The sequence below is a fragment of the Homo sapiens genome, chromosome 18 (genome assembly GCF_000001405.40).
Source record: "Homo sapiens chromosome 18, GRCh38.p14 Primary Assembly".
Lineage (NCBI taxonomy): Eukaryota > Metazoa > Chordata > Mammalia > Primates > Hominidae > Homo > Homo sapiens.
The window spans coordinates 41,402,222-41,421,893 of NC_000018.10; the positions used below are offsets into that span (position 1 = coordinate 41,402,222).

A 19,672-nucleotide genomic window follows, 5' to 3' on the forward strand; every position below is an offset into this window, starting at 1 on the left:
GTCATAGATAAAAGGTAAAAACAATCCAAATGTACATCAATAGAAAAATATGCTAAAATGATATTGTGCTTTACTCATACACAAGGGAATAGTATGCAGCAATGAAGAGGAACTATTGATACATGAAACAATGTAGATGAATCTTGAGAACAATATATTGAAAGAATAAGACATGAGTGAGTACAGTATGATTCTATTTCCAATAAGTACTAGAATAGGCAAAATGAATAGATGATAAAAGAAATTGAGTAAGTAGTTGTATTTGAGCCAGGATGGAGATTGACAGGGAAGAAAAAATTTCTGAAGTAATGGAAATTATCTATTTCTTAATAGAGGCATAGAATATATAAATATATCCATTTTTCAAAACTTATGAAACTATATTCTTTAGATCTGTGCATCTCATTGTCTATAAATCATACCTCAATCAAAAATTATTGATCAAAAAAATCCAATGGACAGCATAATGCATGGTACATAGTAGGTGCTCAATAAATATTTGTTGGATGATATTATTCCTAGGAAGAATCTCAGATAGTGATTTTTTTCCCTGCAAAGAACTATGGCCAATATTGAGGAAACAACTCAAAGAGAATGTCAGTTGCATCATCTTTGTTCATAATGGATGTGAAAATTATTTTTGCAATATTGACTTTTGTTCTGAGGGAAACTAAAACAGACCAATTTGTTCAATCTTCAGAGAGATTTAGGTAGTGTTAAAGTGGCTCATTGGGAGAGTAGAAACTAAAGCTAACACAGCTCTCTTGGCCTGACCTATACCTTTATCAAACCCAAGTCAAACACTGTGGTTGCATTTTTCAAAGTCCATTTGACAGACAGGAACTGTCAGTAACAGTCATACTTAGCAGAAATTCATTAACCTGTAGACCTTCTCCATTTGAGGAAATATTTTCTCACTATATTGAAAGCATATTCATTTCTCTAAGAAAAACCTCTCATGCACTTACTCCTTGAAGTCTTTTTTTTTTTTAAGCTTTGCAGCCTGAAATGATCTCTACATCTTCTAGATCTTATGGCAATTTCCTAGTGCTTCTATTATAAAACCCATCACCTTCCACTTTATATTACAGCAATTTGGGTACCTGTTTTATCCTCTCTTGGATTGCAAACTGCTTTAGAGGATAGAGCTAGTTATTCATTTTATATTTTCACAGAATATACCACACTGTAGTTTTCTACCCACATATTTGCCAAATAAGTGTATAAATAAATAAATAAATAAAGAAATGTTTGGGTCAATGACAAGAGAGAAAAAAACTCACAATTTCAAACAGCAGAATGTGATTTTGCATAGTAATTTTTAGCCATTTTATTCATTATTTCTCTCAAATGTATTCATGGAGAGCTATTGTTTGGCACATATTGTTCTAGCTATATACTAAGGGTGAAAGTTGAATGAGACATGGACTTTGCTCCTCAAGGAGGTCACAAATACAAATAGAGAGGTGGATATAATTGTAAAATAATGTAATGAGAGCTTGAATGGAGGAGAGATTCAGAGGAGAGTGATGGCACAAAATAAAAAAGTAATCATGAAAAATGGAGGTTTGGGTAACATCTGTAGAAAATTCCAGATGACTTTAAAGGTCAATGATAACATCTAACATCAAGGGTTTACTAGACTCTGAACTTCTAGAATCCTGTCAGCAATGCTAGAGGTACTACTATTTTTCCCATTATGCAGAAGAAAAAAAAACTGAGACACCGAAATTAAATATTTTGCCTAAGGCCACTACAGCTCCTGGTAAAATCAGGTTTTGAGTACAGCATGTTTGGACCCAGAGCCGTATCCTCAATTGAAATGATCTGGGTCTTGAAAAATGAGTAGGCCCCACCTGGTATGTGTGAAGATGTTCCTGTGAGTTTAGTGGTTTTATCAGTAAAGTTTCCTCACTGTTTCACTCAAGTTGAATTATTGAATATTGCTACTTTATGCAACAACAGATAAATTATCAGAAGGATACTAGGGTTTCTCAGAGTATCCAAGCAGGTATTGAATATTCAGACTTCAGGAAGAGCAAGAAACCTGCCAGATTAATGGGTCTTAGCAGCTGGAAATAATGGGTTTTCTCTCCGGGTATCTTTTAATTCTTGGATCAGATATAAATCCCTGGATCAATCAATTGTGGACAGGGACAGGGTCATATTATACCAGGGCTAGCACTCACATATTTATAAAAGGCACCGTTTATATTATAAACTATACACAGGCAATGTAAAAGATGTTACCTGGAGGTGTGCAATATGGATGCTCTAATGGAAACTTAATAGCAGCCATGTGATTGGTAGGGCATCACATGGCTACCCAAAGTGCAGATTTGAGTAGAAACAAAGTGAAAGAATATAATGGCTATCTGCTACAGGGATTGGGGTTGGAATAAAATTCAGAATTCTCATATGTGAGTCTCAGATATTTTATAACATCAAGCCATGGTTTTTTTTCCTTAGTTCTTGCCTGCATCCAATGTACTGTGAAGTTTCCAACAATCAGGTCTCATTTCCTGTGATTTCTTTTTTTTTTTAACTCAAAATTATTTTAGACTGATTTCACTTGGATTAAAATAAAGTACATTGCCCCCCTGACTCAACACATTATTTGGAATTGAACTGACCTTCACATTCTCAGCTATTCTGCCTTATGGTGTGATGGTGTGGGTAACTAATAAAGTGAATGACACATGATTTGAGTCAATTGGTGGAAGAGTCATGATCCGAGTACTGTATTTAAAGGCAAGTCTAAAAAAGGCCGTTTGATTGCTCTTGTGGTGTAGGCACTCCTTAGATGCTTCACCTGCTTTGTCTTTGTGAAATAAGGGAGAACGCACAGAGAAAATAAAATAATGGTATTATCCCACCACGTATCTATTAAATGTTACATCCTATATGTGAATTATTTTATTTACTCTTCCAACTGACATACAGATTTTCTTCCCCTTATTTTAAAACGCTGAAAACAAGCTGAGGTTGATTAAATAATTAAAGTTCACTGCTAGAAAATGTCACAGATGGAACTGAAACCCACATCTCTATGTATGCTTTCTGTGACAGGTCCACCTAAAATTACATAACACCAATTTACCTAGGCTCTGTGGCTACCACCAGAGTAGTGGGGCACTCCAGGTTTATTGACTCGTCTAGCACATTTACAGAGGCCCAAAGCAATGGGCACAAGCACCTCCCTTTAAATTCAACACTTCCTTCACTTCCAGGGTCTATTTTAATAGATTCAATCAATCCCAGCTTAATAGTGAAATTGAGGTTTTCATTTGGTAAGCTCTATTACTGAAGGAAGGTCGTGTTACTTTTTTAAGTGGTAGAATTATTGTTTATTAATTACAGAATTTACGCCATTGGTAACTTCCGTCCAGCATGCCTGTGATCTTCCCAAGTCTCTTTATCTTTTTTATCTTTCTTTTTTTTTTTTTTTTTTTTTTTTTGAGACGGAGTCTTGCTCTGTTGCCCAGGCTGGAGTGCAGTGGCTGGATCTCGGCTCACCACAAGCTCCACCTCCCGGGTTTACGCCATTCTCCTGCCTCAGCCTCCCAAGTAGTTGGGACTACAGGCGCCCACCACCACGCCCGGTTAATTTTTTGTATTGTTAGTAGAGACAGTGTTTCACCGTGTTAGCCAGGATGGTCTTGATCTCCTGACCTCGTGATCCACCCGCCTCGGCCTACCAAAGTGCTGGGATTACAGGCGTGAGCCACCGCGCCAGGCCTCTTGATCTTTCAATGGGAGACACATTCCTTTGTTAGTGTTGTGTGTAACTACATTTAATAACAACTCATGTGAAAAGTGATATCTTACTCAGTAATATTTAATTAGACTTGAAAATAGCAAGTTACCACCAACATGTAGAATAAATCCTATCTAAGGAATAAGGAGGCTGTACCCACATTCTTGGTTTTTCAGAGACTTATAAGGTGATGCCGCACAAATAATATAACCACTCAAGGTTTCTCTTTCCTTATCTATCAGTTATAACACTTATTCTACTCTCTAAAAGACAAAACAAAGACTTGAACCAGCTCACTCACGTCTGTGCAAGTGCTTTAATGAAACGTTACGTATTACTTTACCTCGACACACTTTTCTTTTTTTAATCCACTAATTCTTCACATTTTTCAAAGTGGAAAAAAAGCAGGAAACGGGAGCTTAAAAATAGAAGGGGTTATCTTCCAAGAGGCTGGAAAGTGTCCTAGGGGCCAAACAGCCGAATGGGATTTGCTCTCAGGCAGGCTGGCTGTGGCACGTGTTGATTTTCTTAAACTTTAAGAACCCACTAACTTCAGCTAATGATGTCTGGGATTATAGCACCCAAAATGTCACGATCTACTGTGTTCACCTGTCTATTGTCCTTTCTCACATTTTTGCACCCTACATGATACTTGGCAAAATCCTTCCTGGCTTTCTCCTTTAGGTGTCACTCTCAAGAATGTGAAGTTATACTGCAAAATGTGCAGCCTGAAGCATCAGAGGTTAGAGGCAAAAATCTCTATCCTGCTAATAAAGTTTCAAACTGAAGGACTCGCCAGTCCCTCTGAGATTTTGTTTTATGTAAATACTCCTGCCTCCTGGAGAGTCCTCCCTTATGACTTTGTTAGAAAGGTCATATATTTCCAGATTTCATTTAGGGAAAGCATTTGTTCATTCAGGGAAAGAGAAAAACTAATTCCCTGAGGCACACTGACATTGATGAGAAATAAAGCCAGAGCCCAACAAGGAGGCGAGACCAGGAGAACTCCAGCAAAGTAGAATGAAAGTCACAAGATGTTTTAACTGCATACAAGGAAAAGGGTGGAACCTTCTGAGAAACGGATCCACCTACTGGAAACTTCTCATGAACTGTATTTTTTAGGGACAGAGGAAGTAAGAGGAGGTTTTCTCTGGAGGGACAGCTTCTAGGGTCTTCAGAGCCAAAATTTTGGCCCAGTCTTTCTGGGTAAAGAGGGTTAAGTCTGTGTGAAGCAGCATCAACTGGCTGGAAAACTATTTGACCTTCACTGGATCGTCAGTCATTCTTTTGCTTGAGTGGCTGAATGAAGAGTATGTCATTCTGTCATAGCAAAAATCTGGAGAAGGGGAAAAAAATTAAATCGATCCTCTCCATCTCAGAAAGGCTTAGTTTCGTTGGCATCTAACTGACACAAATACTCTTTGCTAGGTTTCTGTTTGCTGATAGTAATTAAATATTCCTGTCTCTGGCTTCACAGCCAAACACCCTGGCTGACGACGAGGACAGTATGCTCCACTTTTAAAGGACAGGGTTGGAAATTTGCTTATTCTAAATGCCTCTGATTATAGACATGTATATGTATGTCTGGGTTCTCTCTCTTTCTCTTTCTAAAATCTATTCCACTCACCAGATGCAAAAAACTCTTAACAAAACAATAAAATTTATAATGTGCAATACATTGACATTTGTAGTCCTATATTAGCTGTTAATTAGAGCTTATCCATAGACTAATCTGGATTTCAAATTAATAATTTAAGCAGTTTACCAACTTACAGATTTTTAGTTATTTATTAAAGCATTTAAAAATGAATTTAAAAAGGAAGAAAAGAGGAGAGTAATAGAGATCTAGGTGACAAGGACTATTGTAATTTTGCCACAAATTGTTCCAACTGAGAGGCATTGATTGCCTTGCCTTTGTTTGTTTGCTGGCTTGCTTCTGTTTGTACCTCACCACCTCCCTGAAGTAAGATGGCAATGAAATGGTACTGTGGCTGACCTTAGTTTTTCCCCAGACAATGGTAAGATATGGAGACTTTCCTCCCTTAAGAAAAGAGTGAATAGCAATTGTCTTGTGTGCCTTTCAATAACTAGTAAGATTAACCCCAGAGAAACCTCCTGTAGCCGAGACATTGATTGTTCTTTCTCATCTGGGCCAGAGTCTATTTGAGGAGACTCAGCCCCATCTTTAAAAGGGAAGGGGGTAAGGTAGAGGTCAGGAGTTAGGCAGTCTCATTTTCTTCTTTAGAATTCCTGTGCTCAGGACAGGTCTCTCCACACAGTCTAGCTGGGAATTGGGGCCATCACCCAGAGACTTGAGAACCTAAAAATGCTTTATTTAGAGACTTATATACTTTAGGGAGTTTTGTTTTTTATTTCTTGCTTCAACTTACCTGAAGGACTCCATTCTGTTTTGCTACAACTGATCAAACAACAGTCTTCTTACGTTATCCAAAAAATGAATGTCTGAAACAAAGCAGCAGAAATCCAAGGAATATCTTGAATAATTCTAGGTGCTAGATAAATGAAATTAAGATTGTCAAGGTCTCAAAAATGAGTCTTTTCTTTTTCCCTCTTTTTTCCTTTTGTTATTTTGATTTATACAATTTTAGAAACTTTTTCATTCTGATAGAAGGTATGTGAATTAGACAGTTGGAACAGCCAAAGTGTCTTTTGGAGCATCTTTCTTGTCAATATTCAAATAAAAAACATTTATGATGACCTATTAAGGTTTTAGGGCTCTTGTTAACTTTAGAAGTTACAGCAATGTGAATCGATAATATAAACATGCACAATTCAAGCCATTGTTTTAAGAAGATTTGATATTTGGTCTGAGTTGGGAAGTAATTAGTATTTAAAAAAAAAAAGACAGGGGAGTTGTGTGTGCAGTCCTTTCCCTTTACTAAGATAGCCACAGAGCTAAATCATCTGGATATGATCTATTTCTTACCTGCTGACTTTATAAATAGATTTGTATTTATCAGGCTAAGTTTTGTTCATATCTATGCTTATATGTATAATATCTTGTCTCTGATCTTCATTACCACCCTGAAAGTTGATATTCATCAGGTTAGATTGTCAAAGTTGGGCACAGCTTATAAGTGACCCATGTTGCTTTGAAGTCAATATTATTCCAATGCACCATGCTACTCATACATAATGATGTGGCATGGAAGTAAACATATGTGTTTAAAGAATGGCAAGGACTCCATGGGGGCTAGGTTGAGCATATATGTTGGAGAACAGCCAAGTTAAGTTTGAACAGAAGGATTAGGGTCAGTTAAGGAAGCTCTTCAAATACAAGAGGTGAAGAATGAACTCTATTCTGAAGGCTATAGAGGGTCATTTAAGTAAGACGATGGTGTGAATACTACTGAGATCATAAAGAATATAAATATTTCAATGTAACTTTCATTTTTCATACATAGGCACCTATGTAGAGCCAATAATATAATAATTACTAGTCAATAACACATGAAATAACACATGGAATTCAGTCATAAATCTTTTTACTAGACTAATTAAAAAGTAAACTAGGAGCCACAATCAGTTCTATTCATGGATTAGACTTCATTGATCCATTTTGATGCCAGAGGCAGGATTTGAACCTAAGTTCTTTTCATTTCTAGATACTCATTAAACAATTATATCTTAAGTACCAGCCATGTGCAACAAACATATGTTAAGTACCTGCTATTCACAACAAACTTATATTGAACACACGCTATAAAATTGGATGCTTTATAGATATCAAGAAGCGTAAAATAATGCCTCTCTTTCAAAATGCTTAAAATCTTGCTGCAGGGATTAGACTTAGTCATTTGAAAGCTTTATTAATAATAAAAGAGCAATAGAGTTTCACTAGTAAAAATATAAGGAAATACGTAATTATGTAGCAAGTAATGGTTCAGATAATATTAACTAAGTTGCCCACTATAGCAAATTATCTCCCATGTTCAAAGGGAAGATTCTATATACCTGTTACGAATGTCAGAATGTTAAATGAATAAACTTAGCAGACATTCAAATTGGATGCTTAAAGTGTTTCTAACCAATATATTACCAATATATTACAATTGCATGAAACCAAATCTGAAAATTTATACATCTATCTGGTGAGTTCCAAGTGAAGAGAATGTTACTTTTTTATTTAGGCACTTGACTTTAACTATCAGATAACAAAGGAAATGACTCATGGAAATGAAAGAGATGACAGGGTCCTACCACTGTGACTTTGTAACTACACCATAAATCAAGAGTAAAAGTCCTCAATGAAGTCAACCCATAGTCTCCTCTAGAAGGCTTCTTATTACTCTTTTTGCTCTTTAGTTCCATGTTTTTTGAAGTCTTTTTCATCTGTTGAAAGCTACTTGGGAGGCTGAGGCAGGAGAATCTCTTGAACCCAAGAGGCAGAGGTTGCAGTGAGCTGAGATCATGCCATTGCACTCCAGCCTGGCCAACAACAGTGAAACTCCATCTCAAAAAAAAAAAAAAAAGAAAAAACAGAAAAAAAAGACTCCTACTGATATTTGGACCTATTCTCTAGCCATAAATGGACTCTGAGAAGTGTTCATTACTGCCTCTGGTTTCCCCTTCAAGTTCAGTCTATCCATTTTGACTGAAGTCACCCCTTCCTGGATCTCACATATGATCACATGTGCTTGTGTAAGTCAGCTCATCTTCCATCTAGACAGTAAGGTCATCACTGTACCCATGGTGGAACAACCACTTTACCAAAGGAAGCATCTCACAAATGAAGAAACCACTCCCAACCACCTCCTCTGTAGAAAAGAAAAGCAGGTCATCCAAGTCATGTCCCATCTCAAATCTAAATCTAGCTCTATGTATTGGATTAGAGGGTGGCTATATATTATAAGGGGCATTAGAGAGGTACTCACATCCCTAAATAATCTGCAAAAGTGTGCTTCCCTGCAGTCAGAAGTCCATGCATTAGTAATCCTTGCATAAGACACAGATTTAAATGCAAATCTCCTCCCTATAGAGAGACATCCCTGCACATTAGCAACTTCAATTTTTGATTCACATAAAACCTACAGTTAGATGTCTCCTATAAGCTAGACAATTTTTAACAGGATTCAAGAACCAGGAAAGAAAATGTGACCAACATTATTGCTTGAGAGAGAAGAGCTTATTTGGGAGGTCCAAATAAGAGAATTTGCCAGGGTTCACAAGACCATTCATTAGCTGTCTAGGAAAGGAGGCATTTTTATTTTTTATTTTTAACTTTTATTTTAAGTTCAAGGGTACATGTGCAGGTTTGTTACATAGGTAAACTTGTGTCATGGGGGTTTGTTGTATAGATTATTTCATTACCCAGGTATTAGTACTCATTAGTTATTTTTCCTGATCATCTCCCTCCTCCCACCCTCCACCCTCCAATAAGCCCCAGTATCTATGTGTCCATGTGTTGTCATCATTTGGCTCCAATTTATAGGTGAGAACATGTAGTATTTTGTTTTCTGTTCCTGTATTAGTTTGCTAAGGATAATAGCCAACAGCTCCATCTATGTCCCTGCAAAGGACATAATCTCATTCTTTTTTATGGCTGTGTAGTATTTCATGGTGTATATGTACCAAATTTTCTTTATTCGGTCTATCACCAATGGCATTTAGGTTGATTCCATGTCTTTGCTATTGTGAATAGTGTTGCAGTGAACATATGTGTGCATGTGTTTTTATAGTAGAATGATTTATATTCCTTTGGATATATATCCAGTAATGGGATTGCTGGGTCAAATTGTATTTCTGCCTCTCGGTCTTTGAGGAATCACCACACACTGTCTGCCACAATAGTTGAAGTAATTTACACTCCCACCATCAGTGTATAAGTGTTCGTTTTTCTCCATAACCTCTCCATCTTCTGTTATTTTTTGACTTTTTAATAATAGACATTCTGACTTGTGTGAGATAACATCTCACTGTGGTTTTGATTTGCATTTCTCCAATGATCACTGATGTGGAGCCTTTTTTATATGATTATTAGCTGAATGTATGTTTTCTTTTGAAAAGTATTCATGTTCGTTGCCCACTTTTTAATGGGGTTGTTTTTTTTCATCTTTTAAATTTAAGTTTCTTATAGATGCCAGATATTACACCTTTGTTGAAAGTACAGTTTGCAAAATTTTTATCCCATTCTGTAGTTTAGACAAACTCTATTGACAGTTTCTTTTGTTGTGCAGAAGCTTTTTAGTTTCCATACACCAACAACAGTCAAGCCAAGAGCCAAATTGGGAATGAACTCTCATTCACAACTGTCATGACACACACACACACACACACACACAATACCTAGGAATACAGCTAACCAAAGAGGTGAAAGATCTATAAACCACTGCTCAAAGAAATCAGAGATGACACAAACAAATGGAAAAACATTCCATGCTCATGAGTACAAACAATCATTATCATTAAAATGCCCAAATTGCCCAAAGCAATTTAAAGATTCAATGCTATGCCTATTAAACTACCATTGACATTCTTCACAGAATGCAAAATAGCTATTTTAAAATTCATATGGAACCAGAAATAGCCTGAATAGCCAAGGCAATCCCAAGCAAAAAGAGCAAAGCTAGAGGCATCACACTACCCAACTTTAAGCTATACTACAGAGCTAGAGTAATCAAAACAGCATGATACTGTTACAAAAACAGGCATATAAACCAATGGAACAGAATAGAGAACCCAGAAATAAGACCACAAACTTACAACTATCTGATCTTTGACAAACCTGACAAAAACAAGCAATGAGGAAAGGATTCCCTATTCAATAAATGGTGCTGAGATAATGGGCTACTCATATGTAGAAGATTAAAACTGGACCCCTTCCTCATACCATGTACAAAAATTAACTCAAGATGGATGAAAGACTTAGACGTAAAACCCAAAACTATAAAAGCCCTGGAAGGCAAAACTAGGCAACACCATTCAGGGCATAGGCATTGGCAAAGATTTTATGAAGAAGATGCCAAAAGCAACTGCAACAAAAGCAAAAATTGACAAATGGAATCTAATTATAATAAACTAAACAGCTTCTGCACAGCAAAAGAAACAGGGAGGCATTTTTAAATGAAAGTTTTCATGACTATGAAGCCCCAACATTTTTTTTTTTAATTCCACAATCTGGCCAATGGCTAGGCTATAAAGTTTACCTAAGGTATCTGAGATTTTACTGAATTTGGAGACAGTTGAGCAACTGTGCCTCTTTCATTTTATCTACCCTTCTAAAGGTTAAGAATATTTAGTTATTTCTAGATTTTAGATATTCTCCCTTCATTAGCGCCATTAACAAGACGTCCCATCAGTGCAGACAGAACTCACTGAAGTTCATGACCCTGCTATGGATAAATGTTGGTTAAAGGATTCAGACCTAAGTCTGCCTCTTTATTTTAATTCATTATGTAAATCCTGAAACACTTCTTCAGATATATTCAAACTCTTCTTTATGTTGTAATCTATATGATAATGCCATGAAAATCTGATCAAGAATTCTATCCTACTCCATTCTTTGGTGATTTACAAACTGATGGTACCTACTCTGTCAGAAGACACTTCTCTCCAGCTATCGACAAATACATCAATTTTTAAGGTGGTTGAGTTGCATGTCTCTATTACCTGTCAGCCAACAAGAAGTGTGACTATGTTAATATATGCTAGTAAAAGAATGTAAGAGCAAGGAGATTACCCTAGCCATTCAATTCACCAATAATTTATTGAACTAATTTGTGCATAACACTGACCTAAATGATGCATTTGATTATTAATGGAAGGGAGGGAGGCTTAATGATAGTTGCCATTTACTTTATTACAAGAATTTTAGAAAATTTATCTTGTTTAAGAATTTCGGCACCATGTGAAACACAAATTATCCCAGATATACTTTTTAAGACGAGGAAACTAAGGCTTAGTAAGAATAACTTTTATCGAGGCCACATGAATATCTAGTGTTGAAGCTGCAATTTAAACCAGTTCCATGTCTCTGAAGCCAGCACTTGACACTTAACCCTCTAGTATATTACTCGCTAAATAGCCCTCTTAGTACTGCCATAGAGTAAATGTCCTCCCTAATCAGACTTGAGAGCCATCTTTGACATGGTAAAAATAGGTGGAAAGATGAAGCCTCTTTCTTTATTTTTATTGATTTATTTTTTTGAGATGGAGTCTCCCTCTGTCGCCCAGGCTGGAGAGCAGTGGCGCGATCTCGGCTCACTGCAAGCTCCGCCTCCCGGGTTCACGCCATTCTCCTGCCTCAGCCTCCCGAGTAGCTGGGACTACAGGAGCCCACCACCACGCCCTGCTAATTTTTTTTTGTTTTTTGTTTTTTGTTTTTTTGTATTTTTAGTAGAGACGGGGTTTCACGGTGTTAGCCAGAATGGTCTCGATCTCCTGTCCTCATGATCTGCCTGCCTCGGCCTCCCAAAGTGCTGGGATTACAGGCATGAGCCAGCGTGCCCAGCCTCCTCTTTCTTACAGCTTTTGTTTTTTGACTAACCAGATCAATGGGTAGCACATTAACGCAAACTATATATATGCTTTCTAACCAATTGTCAGGAAAGCGGAATTGGTCAACAAGCTCAGTCACAAGGTGAGGTTTAATAACTTGTTAATACAAATCGACATAGCATCTGGATTTCTTGCAGCTATAGCCTTTTCTCTTCTATACTCCCTTTGCCCAACCCACTGCTCCCAGTATCATACTCAGGTTAAGCAAGTATCTATGGCTTGCCTGCCTTAAATTCTGTTTTATTACCCTCCCAGTTCACTCCTCTTACCCTCCTATTGAGGCCACGCTGGGAACCTTGGCCTGTATATCTCGGATAGATATGCCTGACTAGTTCTTACCAGCTCCTCCAAGTAAAGCAGTGTTTCTCACTGCATTAGAACCATTAAGGAAAATTGTCATCTCCCTCTCTACCATTCATTACCTTTTCTACTCTGATTGCTAATCCTGGGTTGGGTTGCAGTTTTCTATAACATAACAAAATTTGAGAGCCAAATTCTAAGAGATGCTAGTGTTCATATCTCTTGCTGTAAAGTGTGATTACAGCATGGCTAGAAGAATTCTTGTAACCCTAGCATGTTTATGTCTGATTATATTACCCATCAAGGAAAAAATTCACTTTGCAAACTCTAACTTTCCTGTGAATACAGATTATGTCTGTCTTGTTTGCTAGTGTAACTTGAAAGGCACTTATAGGGCATGGCACATATTAAGTGCTCCACAAATATTTGTTTGATTTAAATCAATGGCTGGAAGACTGAACAGATGGAGCAATGGATGAATGACATTCTTGTTGGCTGAGCTAGCTTATTTCTTCTTCCCCACAACACATACCTTTTCCATATGATAGTAATAACCCTAAACTTCTCCTGAGCCTTGCAATTATGGCCTTGTTATATCACATCAGGCCAGTCTATTTCCCAAGATACCTGGATAAAATATATATGAATGATACTATGGATTAGGAGAGTTTTAGACAACCTAAGTGATGTATCAAGTTCTCCTATCACTCCTCTTTATCTCCTGGGAAAGTGAGTTTGTTGTGTTACACAACATAATTATCAAAGTGGCAAACACATCACATATTTTCTTATCATAATTTTAATTACTTTTGTTTGCTTGTCTTTGCCTTTTCCATTGAAAGCCTTCATTCATATTGACCCACTTCAATTTTGCTTAGTTTATAAATCCTGGTGAAATTTTAGCTAGAAGTGGCATGGCCATAGCTGAAGTTTATATTCATAAGTAACAATATGGGTAAGAACATGCCTTTGGTTTTTATGATAGTTTTTGAATCAGATTTTCAATGACTTAAAAGTTTTCTTAAAATGTGTACCATATGCCTACATTTTTTTGACATTTATAAAGAAGGTTATTCTGCGCCTGAGCTCTTTGGTTATCTGACTACTAGAGAATATGAGGCAGAGAACACTTACTGCAAAGAAAATGTTCTTTTATAGCATCCTTTAGTATGCATTATAGCTCTGAAAGAAATAGAAGCCAAGATTTCCAAATATATTAGTTTCCCAAAGTTATCACTCAACAATGTTTGACACAGCGGAGGCAATAGGTAAAGTTAGTACAGTCCTTGTTAAACCCTGGGTTTAATGATTTTTTTTAGGACATTCGTATTAAAATGGGATCGTTAAAAATATACTGCCATTCCAGCAGCAAAAAAATGCATACAATAAGTTCACACAATGCATACCAATAATGACTCAACAAAATAAATGGCAAAATGAAACCAGCATTGCTCACAGTGTGTTTAAAATAACCTTTAGGCATTTGATGAGTTTTATTGGTAACCATTTGGTGGCAAACTACTCAGTGTAAAAGAACAGTTTAAAAGCTAATAGGAAAAATCTGGCATTAATAACGTGGTAGAGTACAGTGAGAACAATAGTGAAGTTACTGCAGAAAGCAATGTATCTAGATAATTAAACTTAAGTCATTTTGGTTCTACAGCAGTAAAAGATATGCCTGCTAGGAACATGAGAGACCCCATATGCAAAGCTGACTCTAAGAGTAAAAAGTCGGCTTCGTGGTTACACAAATAGGTTGAAATAGAGTGTGGAGCAAGGCAGAGAAGTGTAGGCAGATCACTCGGATTCATTAATTATCCTCTCTCAGCTTTATTTTTCCTTCACTCAAAAGGTTATTACTATCGTTTTATTCTTAAATTATGTTGGTAAACACTATGCCTCCCTCTTAATCTGTGCCAGAATCATGAATAAACAACTTAAATGTGCAAAAGACCTTGGAAATGCATGCCAAGATAAACTATAGATAAAATTATCCATAGCTTGAAATTAAAGTTAAAACCCTAGTGCAGTTACTTAGTTGAGATATATGAGAATAGGCCAGTAGCATCTTTGTTTTTCCTTTTCTCAGTATGCATAATAATAAAGCAAACGTTAATAACATTTTTGTGATGCAGAGTGATTAATAAGCAATTAGGTCTGTGTCTAAATGATTTTGTTGGCAGTCTTCAATATGCGTTTCTTGGAAGTCTACTGCTGTCTGATACTGATTCTAACAACTAGTATAACATTTTTTTAAAAAATTATAGGATTGTATTAATAGCTAAACCATAACAAGAGTGGGTCTGGGCTCAGACAATGCACAGAATATGATCAGGGATGTTTAGGTATCAATGTAGAAGACACATTTGAAAGCCACCTCATCACTGATAATACAAAAAGGATGGTTGTGGGATCATCCTATTTGTTTTATTCTATTTATTATATTAAATTTTAAAATTTACAGTGTTTTGTGTTATGCTTTTCATCATTTTAATCTTGTCAAAAATCTAGATGAAAGGTACACTATATTGAACACGTTTTAAATTATGGGACCCTTGAACTCTATATTTAAAAAGAAAAAGCCAAGTAGTTTTTATTCTACCTAATCTAAACATACCTTTAAAATCCTGAATTCAGGCTGGATGTTGTGGCTCACACCTATAATGCCAGCATTTTGAGAAGCCAAGGCAGGTGGATTGCTTGAGCCTAGGAGTTCTAGACCAGTTTGGGCAAAATGGTGAAACCTCACCTCTACAAAAAATACAAAGATTAGCTGGGTGTGATGCCATGTGCCTGAAGTTTCAGTTACTTCGGAGGCTGAGGTAAGAGGATCAATTAAGCCCAGGAGGTCACGGCTGCCATGAGCCATGAGCGCACCACTGCACTCTAGCTTGGGAGACAGGGTGAGATCTTGTTTCAAAAAAATATAAAAGTAATAAAAATAAAATCCTGAATTCAAAGTTTGTTGAAGACTCAATAATTTCTTATACATGAAGACCACATGAAACTTTTCAATGTGTATTATTCACATTTAGTATTTTACTGAGTAAGCACAACAACTTTATGACACTGTATGATAAAGATGAGCTCCTGTGGGCTGATAAAGAAACCGAAGCCCAGGGAGTTCAGCAAACTTGTTCAAATAGAAAGTTTAGGTCTTGGACACAGAAACTCTGCATGTTTGAATTAAACACAGCATCAGCTGTCATGATAGAAAGGAAATTTTGAGTTCGAGTAATGAGACTCTGTTAGAATTTCACAAAATAGCTACTGAAAGTGTTCCAAACAAAAGAGTCAGGAATTTGGACACCACCACTACCACCGCACATACCCACCAAACCCAGATCATTCGAGGGAGGAGGCAGGAGAGGCTTTTGCTCTGCTTCACTTCAACAAATGACCCTGAATTTGGATTTGTAATATAAACTTTCAATACTTTTATACATTGAATTATTAGCAAGGGGAAAATGTTATTATCTCCTGAATGATATTCTCAAACATGCCAAAGTTTATTTTATATCCTAGAAATCTTCTCCCAAAAAACAATAAATGGCAGAAGAAGCAGGAGGGGGAGAGATGGGGAGGGAGCAGAAGAGGGAGCTGGAAGAAGAGGAAAGAACTTCCAGTCCCCACTTGCTCCTGAAATTTCTAGTCACAGACTTAGCATCATGATGCTCTTCAAATTCAATTTAGTGTGGTTTGATTATTAGTACAGAGCACCCAGAATGAGCTATGCTAGATGGCAACAGTATGTAAGGATCACTTCCTGATACCTTCTTCCCTCTTTTATTCCTGGCTCATGGCTTTGCTTTCTTAAAGCAAGAGGTGTCTGCAAGAATGGGGAGGGGGAGGCTGCTAGATGAGAAAAGAAGAAAGTAGCCTGATTGCAGCTTAGCTTTGTGAATTCAAGAAGTGTGTGTTTGAAAAATGAAGGTGCATAAGTTAGTGTAGCTCCAGGGCGCCAGCTTCCCTAGTGTTAGCATAGCTGACACACTGACAGTTTATATGGAATTTATGTGCCTATTTCCTCTGCTTTTTATGGGAAAACATGTTGTTACCTTACAGCTGCCCACATCACATGCCGCCAATCCACCTCTGAGCCATAGAGCACCTTTCTTGAGGAAACATACATACATCAAGGGCTTATGCATTTTTTACAATGTCGTAAGGGAAAAATAATAAAATATGGGTTATTGTGTACACCATTCCACAATTTAATTTTTTTTTATTTCACTGGCTTAATTGACTCTGACCATTTTTATTGCCCCTTTCCCCACCTCATCTCGCCATTTTAATTGTTTATGTGTTTGTGTACAATTGGATCGCATCTGGAGAAGGACAGAAGCTGTAACCACAACTTAAAAGCCAATTGCAGAGCTTTAAAAAGTAAATAAAGCATTTAAGCTGCCACATCAGTAGGAAGATCTATGCAAATGTAAACAGAAGGAAATGTACGTTTTAGAATGAAATGCTTAAAAATCAGCTCCTCTTTTCAATCACCTTCAGGAGCCCTGGATCCTTTGTGATCTCTGGCTGGTGGAAGGCAGTACACAAGGAAGCATGGCAGGGGTCTCGCTCTGCCTCTTCCCTTCCACTCCGTGGGCCAGAAGCTCCGCTTGGGCCAGAAGCAGAACCTTCACCTGAGCATACTTCAGAGGCAGGTTGTTCAATGGCCGAGGGCCTGGGGTCACTCTCACCTATTGCTTTGTCCCGCTGTCTTGCCCAGACTCTCAATGCCTGCGGCAGTTTTTTCCGGACACATCTCGTTTTCTACTTAGCCTTTATTCCTATTTTTTGAATGACCTGATAGGAGAAAAATAAGTGATTTATGCCAATTTACATTTCCCACAGTCATCTACACTTCCAAATAGAATCTCATTGCTATAAATCAATCTTTAATTGGGAAGTGAAGAATGTAATGCAATGAGAGAAAAATAATGGGGATAGATTAATGAATCCAAATCATAGAAGGCAACTTCTTTGCAATACAGGGGACCAACTGGCTCTGTACCCTTCAATAAGCAGTAAATGGAAATATGGTTCAACATTTATCTTGCCAGCTCTCCTCAAACTTGTATGCCCAGGTTTCTCAGGATACCCCTGCTTTGGGGCACGTTATTAGACAACAAAATGTGAAGGAGATTTTCACTTAAGGGGGAAAGATAATGTATGTGAAACTTAGCCTTCTAGTGAGTAGGTTGGACCCTAAATGATGTAAAGAATTCTCTTATTTCTCAAGCCTGTGTGTGTGTGTGTGTGTGTGTGTGGTGTGGTGTGTGTGTGTGCTTGTGTGTTTAGGTACATCTTGAACATTCCTGCTTGAAAATCTTAGAGTCAATGCTCTGATGCTTTTACATTGGCTAAGGTGGGTGCTTTAGCACTGAATTTTGTACCTCTCCACCAAACTACCTTTTGAAATAAAAAATATTTTCTAAGTATATAGAAAAAACTGTCATAACCTAAGATGCTGGCCCCAGAAGGATTGCCTTGTAGTAGTTAAAGGCAAACAATCAGCACCTCCTGCAATCTGCCTGCTGATATTTCCTTTCCTCTCAGGGTGCCTGGTGAATTATGGAAAAATCAATGAAGTCTTCTTGTGTCTTGTTCTCCTCCTTGTAATGCTTTATCCCCCAGAATGACACATCTCCTTCCTTTAGTACTCTGTAGCAAAACTGAGACAGGGCTAGACTATTTAACTAACACATTTAAAAAGGATCTGCAATAACAAAGCAAACCCAGTTTTATGAATTAATTTGCCTTCTTGCCAAGATGCAGCTTATTCATCTTTGTGTTCATTCCACCCTGGGACTGGTCCCTCCTGTAACTCCTAACCTGCCTCCACATAGCACAGGTCCTGTTTAACCCTGCCTGTTGAAAATTCTCAAAGTTCAGGTCAAGAAAAGTCAAGAAGTCAAGATAGTTTACTTCAAATACATGAGATTCTATCATGTGGGATTTAAATTTGACTTGCTTTGTGCAGTTCTGGTGTGTGAAATTATGATCAATGAAGGTGACATGAAGAAAAAGCTCAGCCCAGGATAAGTAAGAATCTTCTAATGAGCAGCCCTAGGTTACAATGGAATGAGATGCTTTTTGAGACAAGGAGTTTGAAGTAGAGCTTGGAAGAGCAACAAAGACATAGACACTCACATTTAAGGGCTGGAATGATTTTAACTTGCCTATAGAGCAACCAACCTCTTTACCTGAAGGTCTATGACTCTATCATGGTCTCAATATAATGTTAAGATTCTTAAAGAAAGGTTTCCAAAGTAGAGGCCCCACACTGATTTAACTCACCCTCCTGTGAGGTAGAGATGGCATTTGCCAAATTTTAGATCTGCACGGATGGCTAAGGTGGAATAAATTCTGGGAGGATGCGATTACCTGCAACACATAAGCCTTTGTGATATCACAGACAGCAGGGTGGTATTTGTTCTCTCTTGCAGTTATTTAGATAATGTTTTGGATAAGTTTTCAGTTTGGTTTTATCTCTTATTGCTTTTAGGTTTCATGTATGCTTATCCTATTTATAAAAGGGTTGTGTATGTCTTACTTCACATCTCTCTTAGCATTGTTTCTGAGGGATAGAAATATATTATGCATTTTTCTTGTCCTTCAGTTGTTCCTCCAGATCAGGAATATATACGAGAAGAAATATGACAAATGTAATCTGCTCTCCTGCAAACCTGAATTTATTTAAAGTGAAAAGGCAAAGAGATCAGAAAGTCTGTGTAGCAAAATTTGTACAGTGTCACCTGACACTGACATAGAAAAAATAGGAAAAAACTTCAACTTCTTGCAGTGGGTAATGCAATAAACAAGAAGAATATGGTTGACAGTATGCGTATGTGTGTATGTGTACGTGCACGTGTGTGTGTTTATGCTTTCATTGAAAGGAGCCATTTGAAAAGCAACCCATTTTGATAGATGTTTTTCCTATATCCCCTAAATTTATTCTTTAGAAAACAATAAAAACATAGCAAGACTGGCCTGAGAGCCAATCTTAGAGAGTAGTCAACTCCCTCATTTTAGTGATGGGGCACTTGAAGTCATGGGGGACAGGGGTGGTAAAACGTCTTGTCCACAGTTGCACAGCTC

At 37.3% G+C, this 19,672-nt stretch overlaps 1 long non-coding RNA gene across 1 annotated transcript; it reads right to left on the bottom strand.

Annotated features, from left to right (window-relative positions):
* Nucleotides 1–4,486: 4,486 nt before the first annotated feature.
* Nucleotides 4,487–18,917, bottom strand: LOC105372084 (uncharacterized). The gene is made up of 4 exons (XR_935410.2): nucleotides 18,872–18,917; nucleotides 17,272–17,377; nucleotides 6,148–6,220; nucleotides 4,487–5,093 (listed from the first exon to the last, which is right to left on the bottom strand). It is a non-coding gene; the product is annotated as an uncharacterized LOC105372084 (long non-coding RNA).
* Between the last annotated feature and the right edge of the window lie 755 nt (nucleotides 18,918–19,672).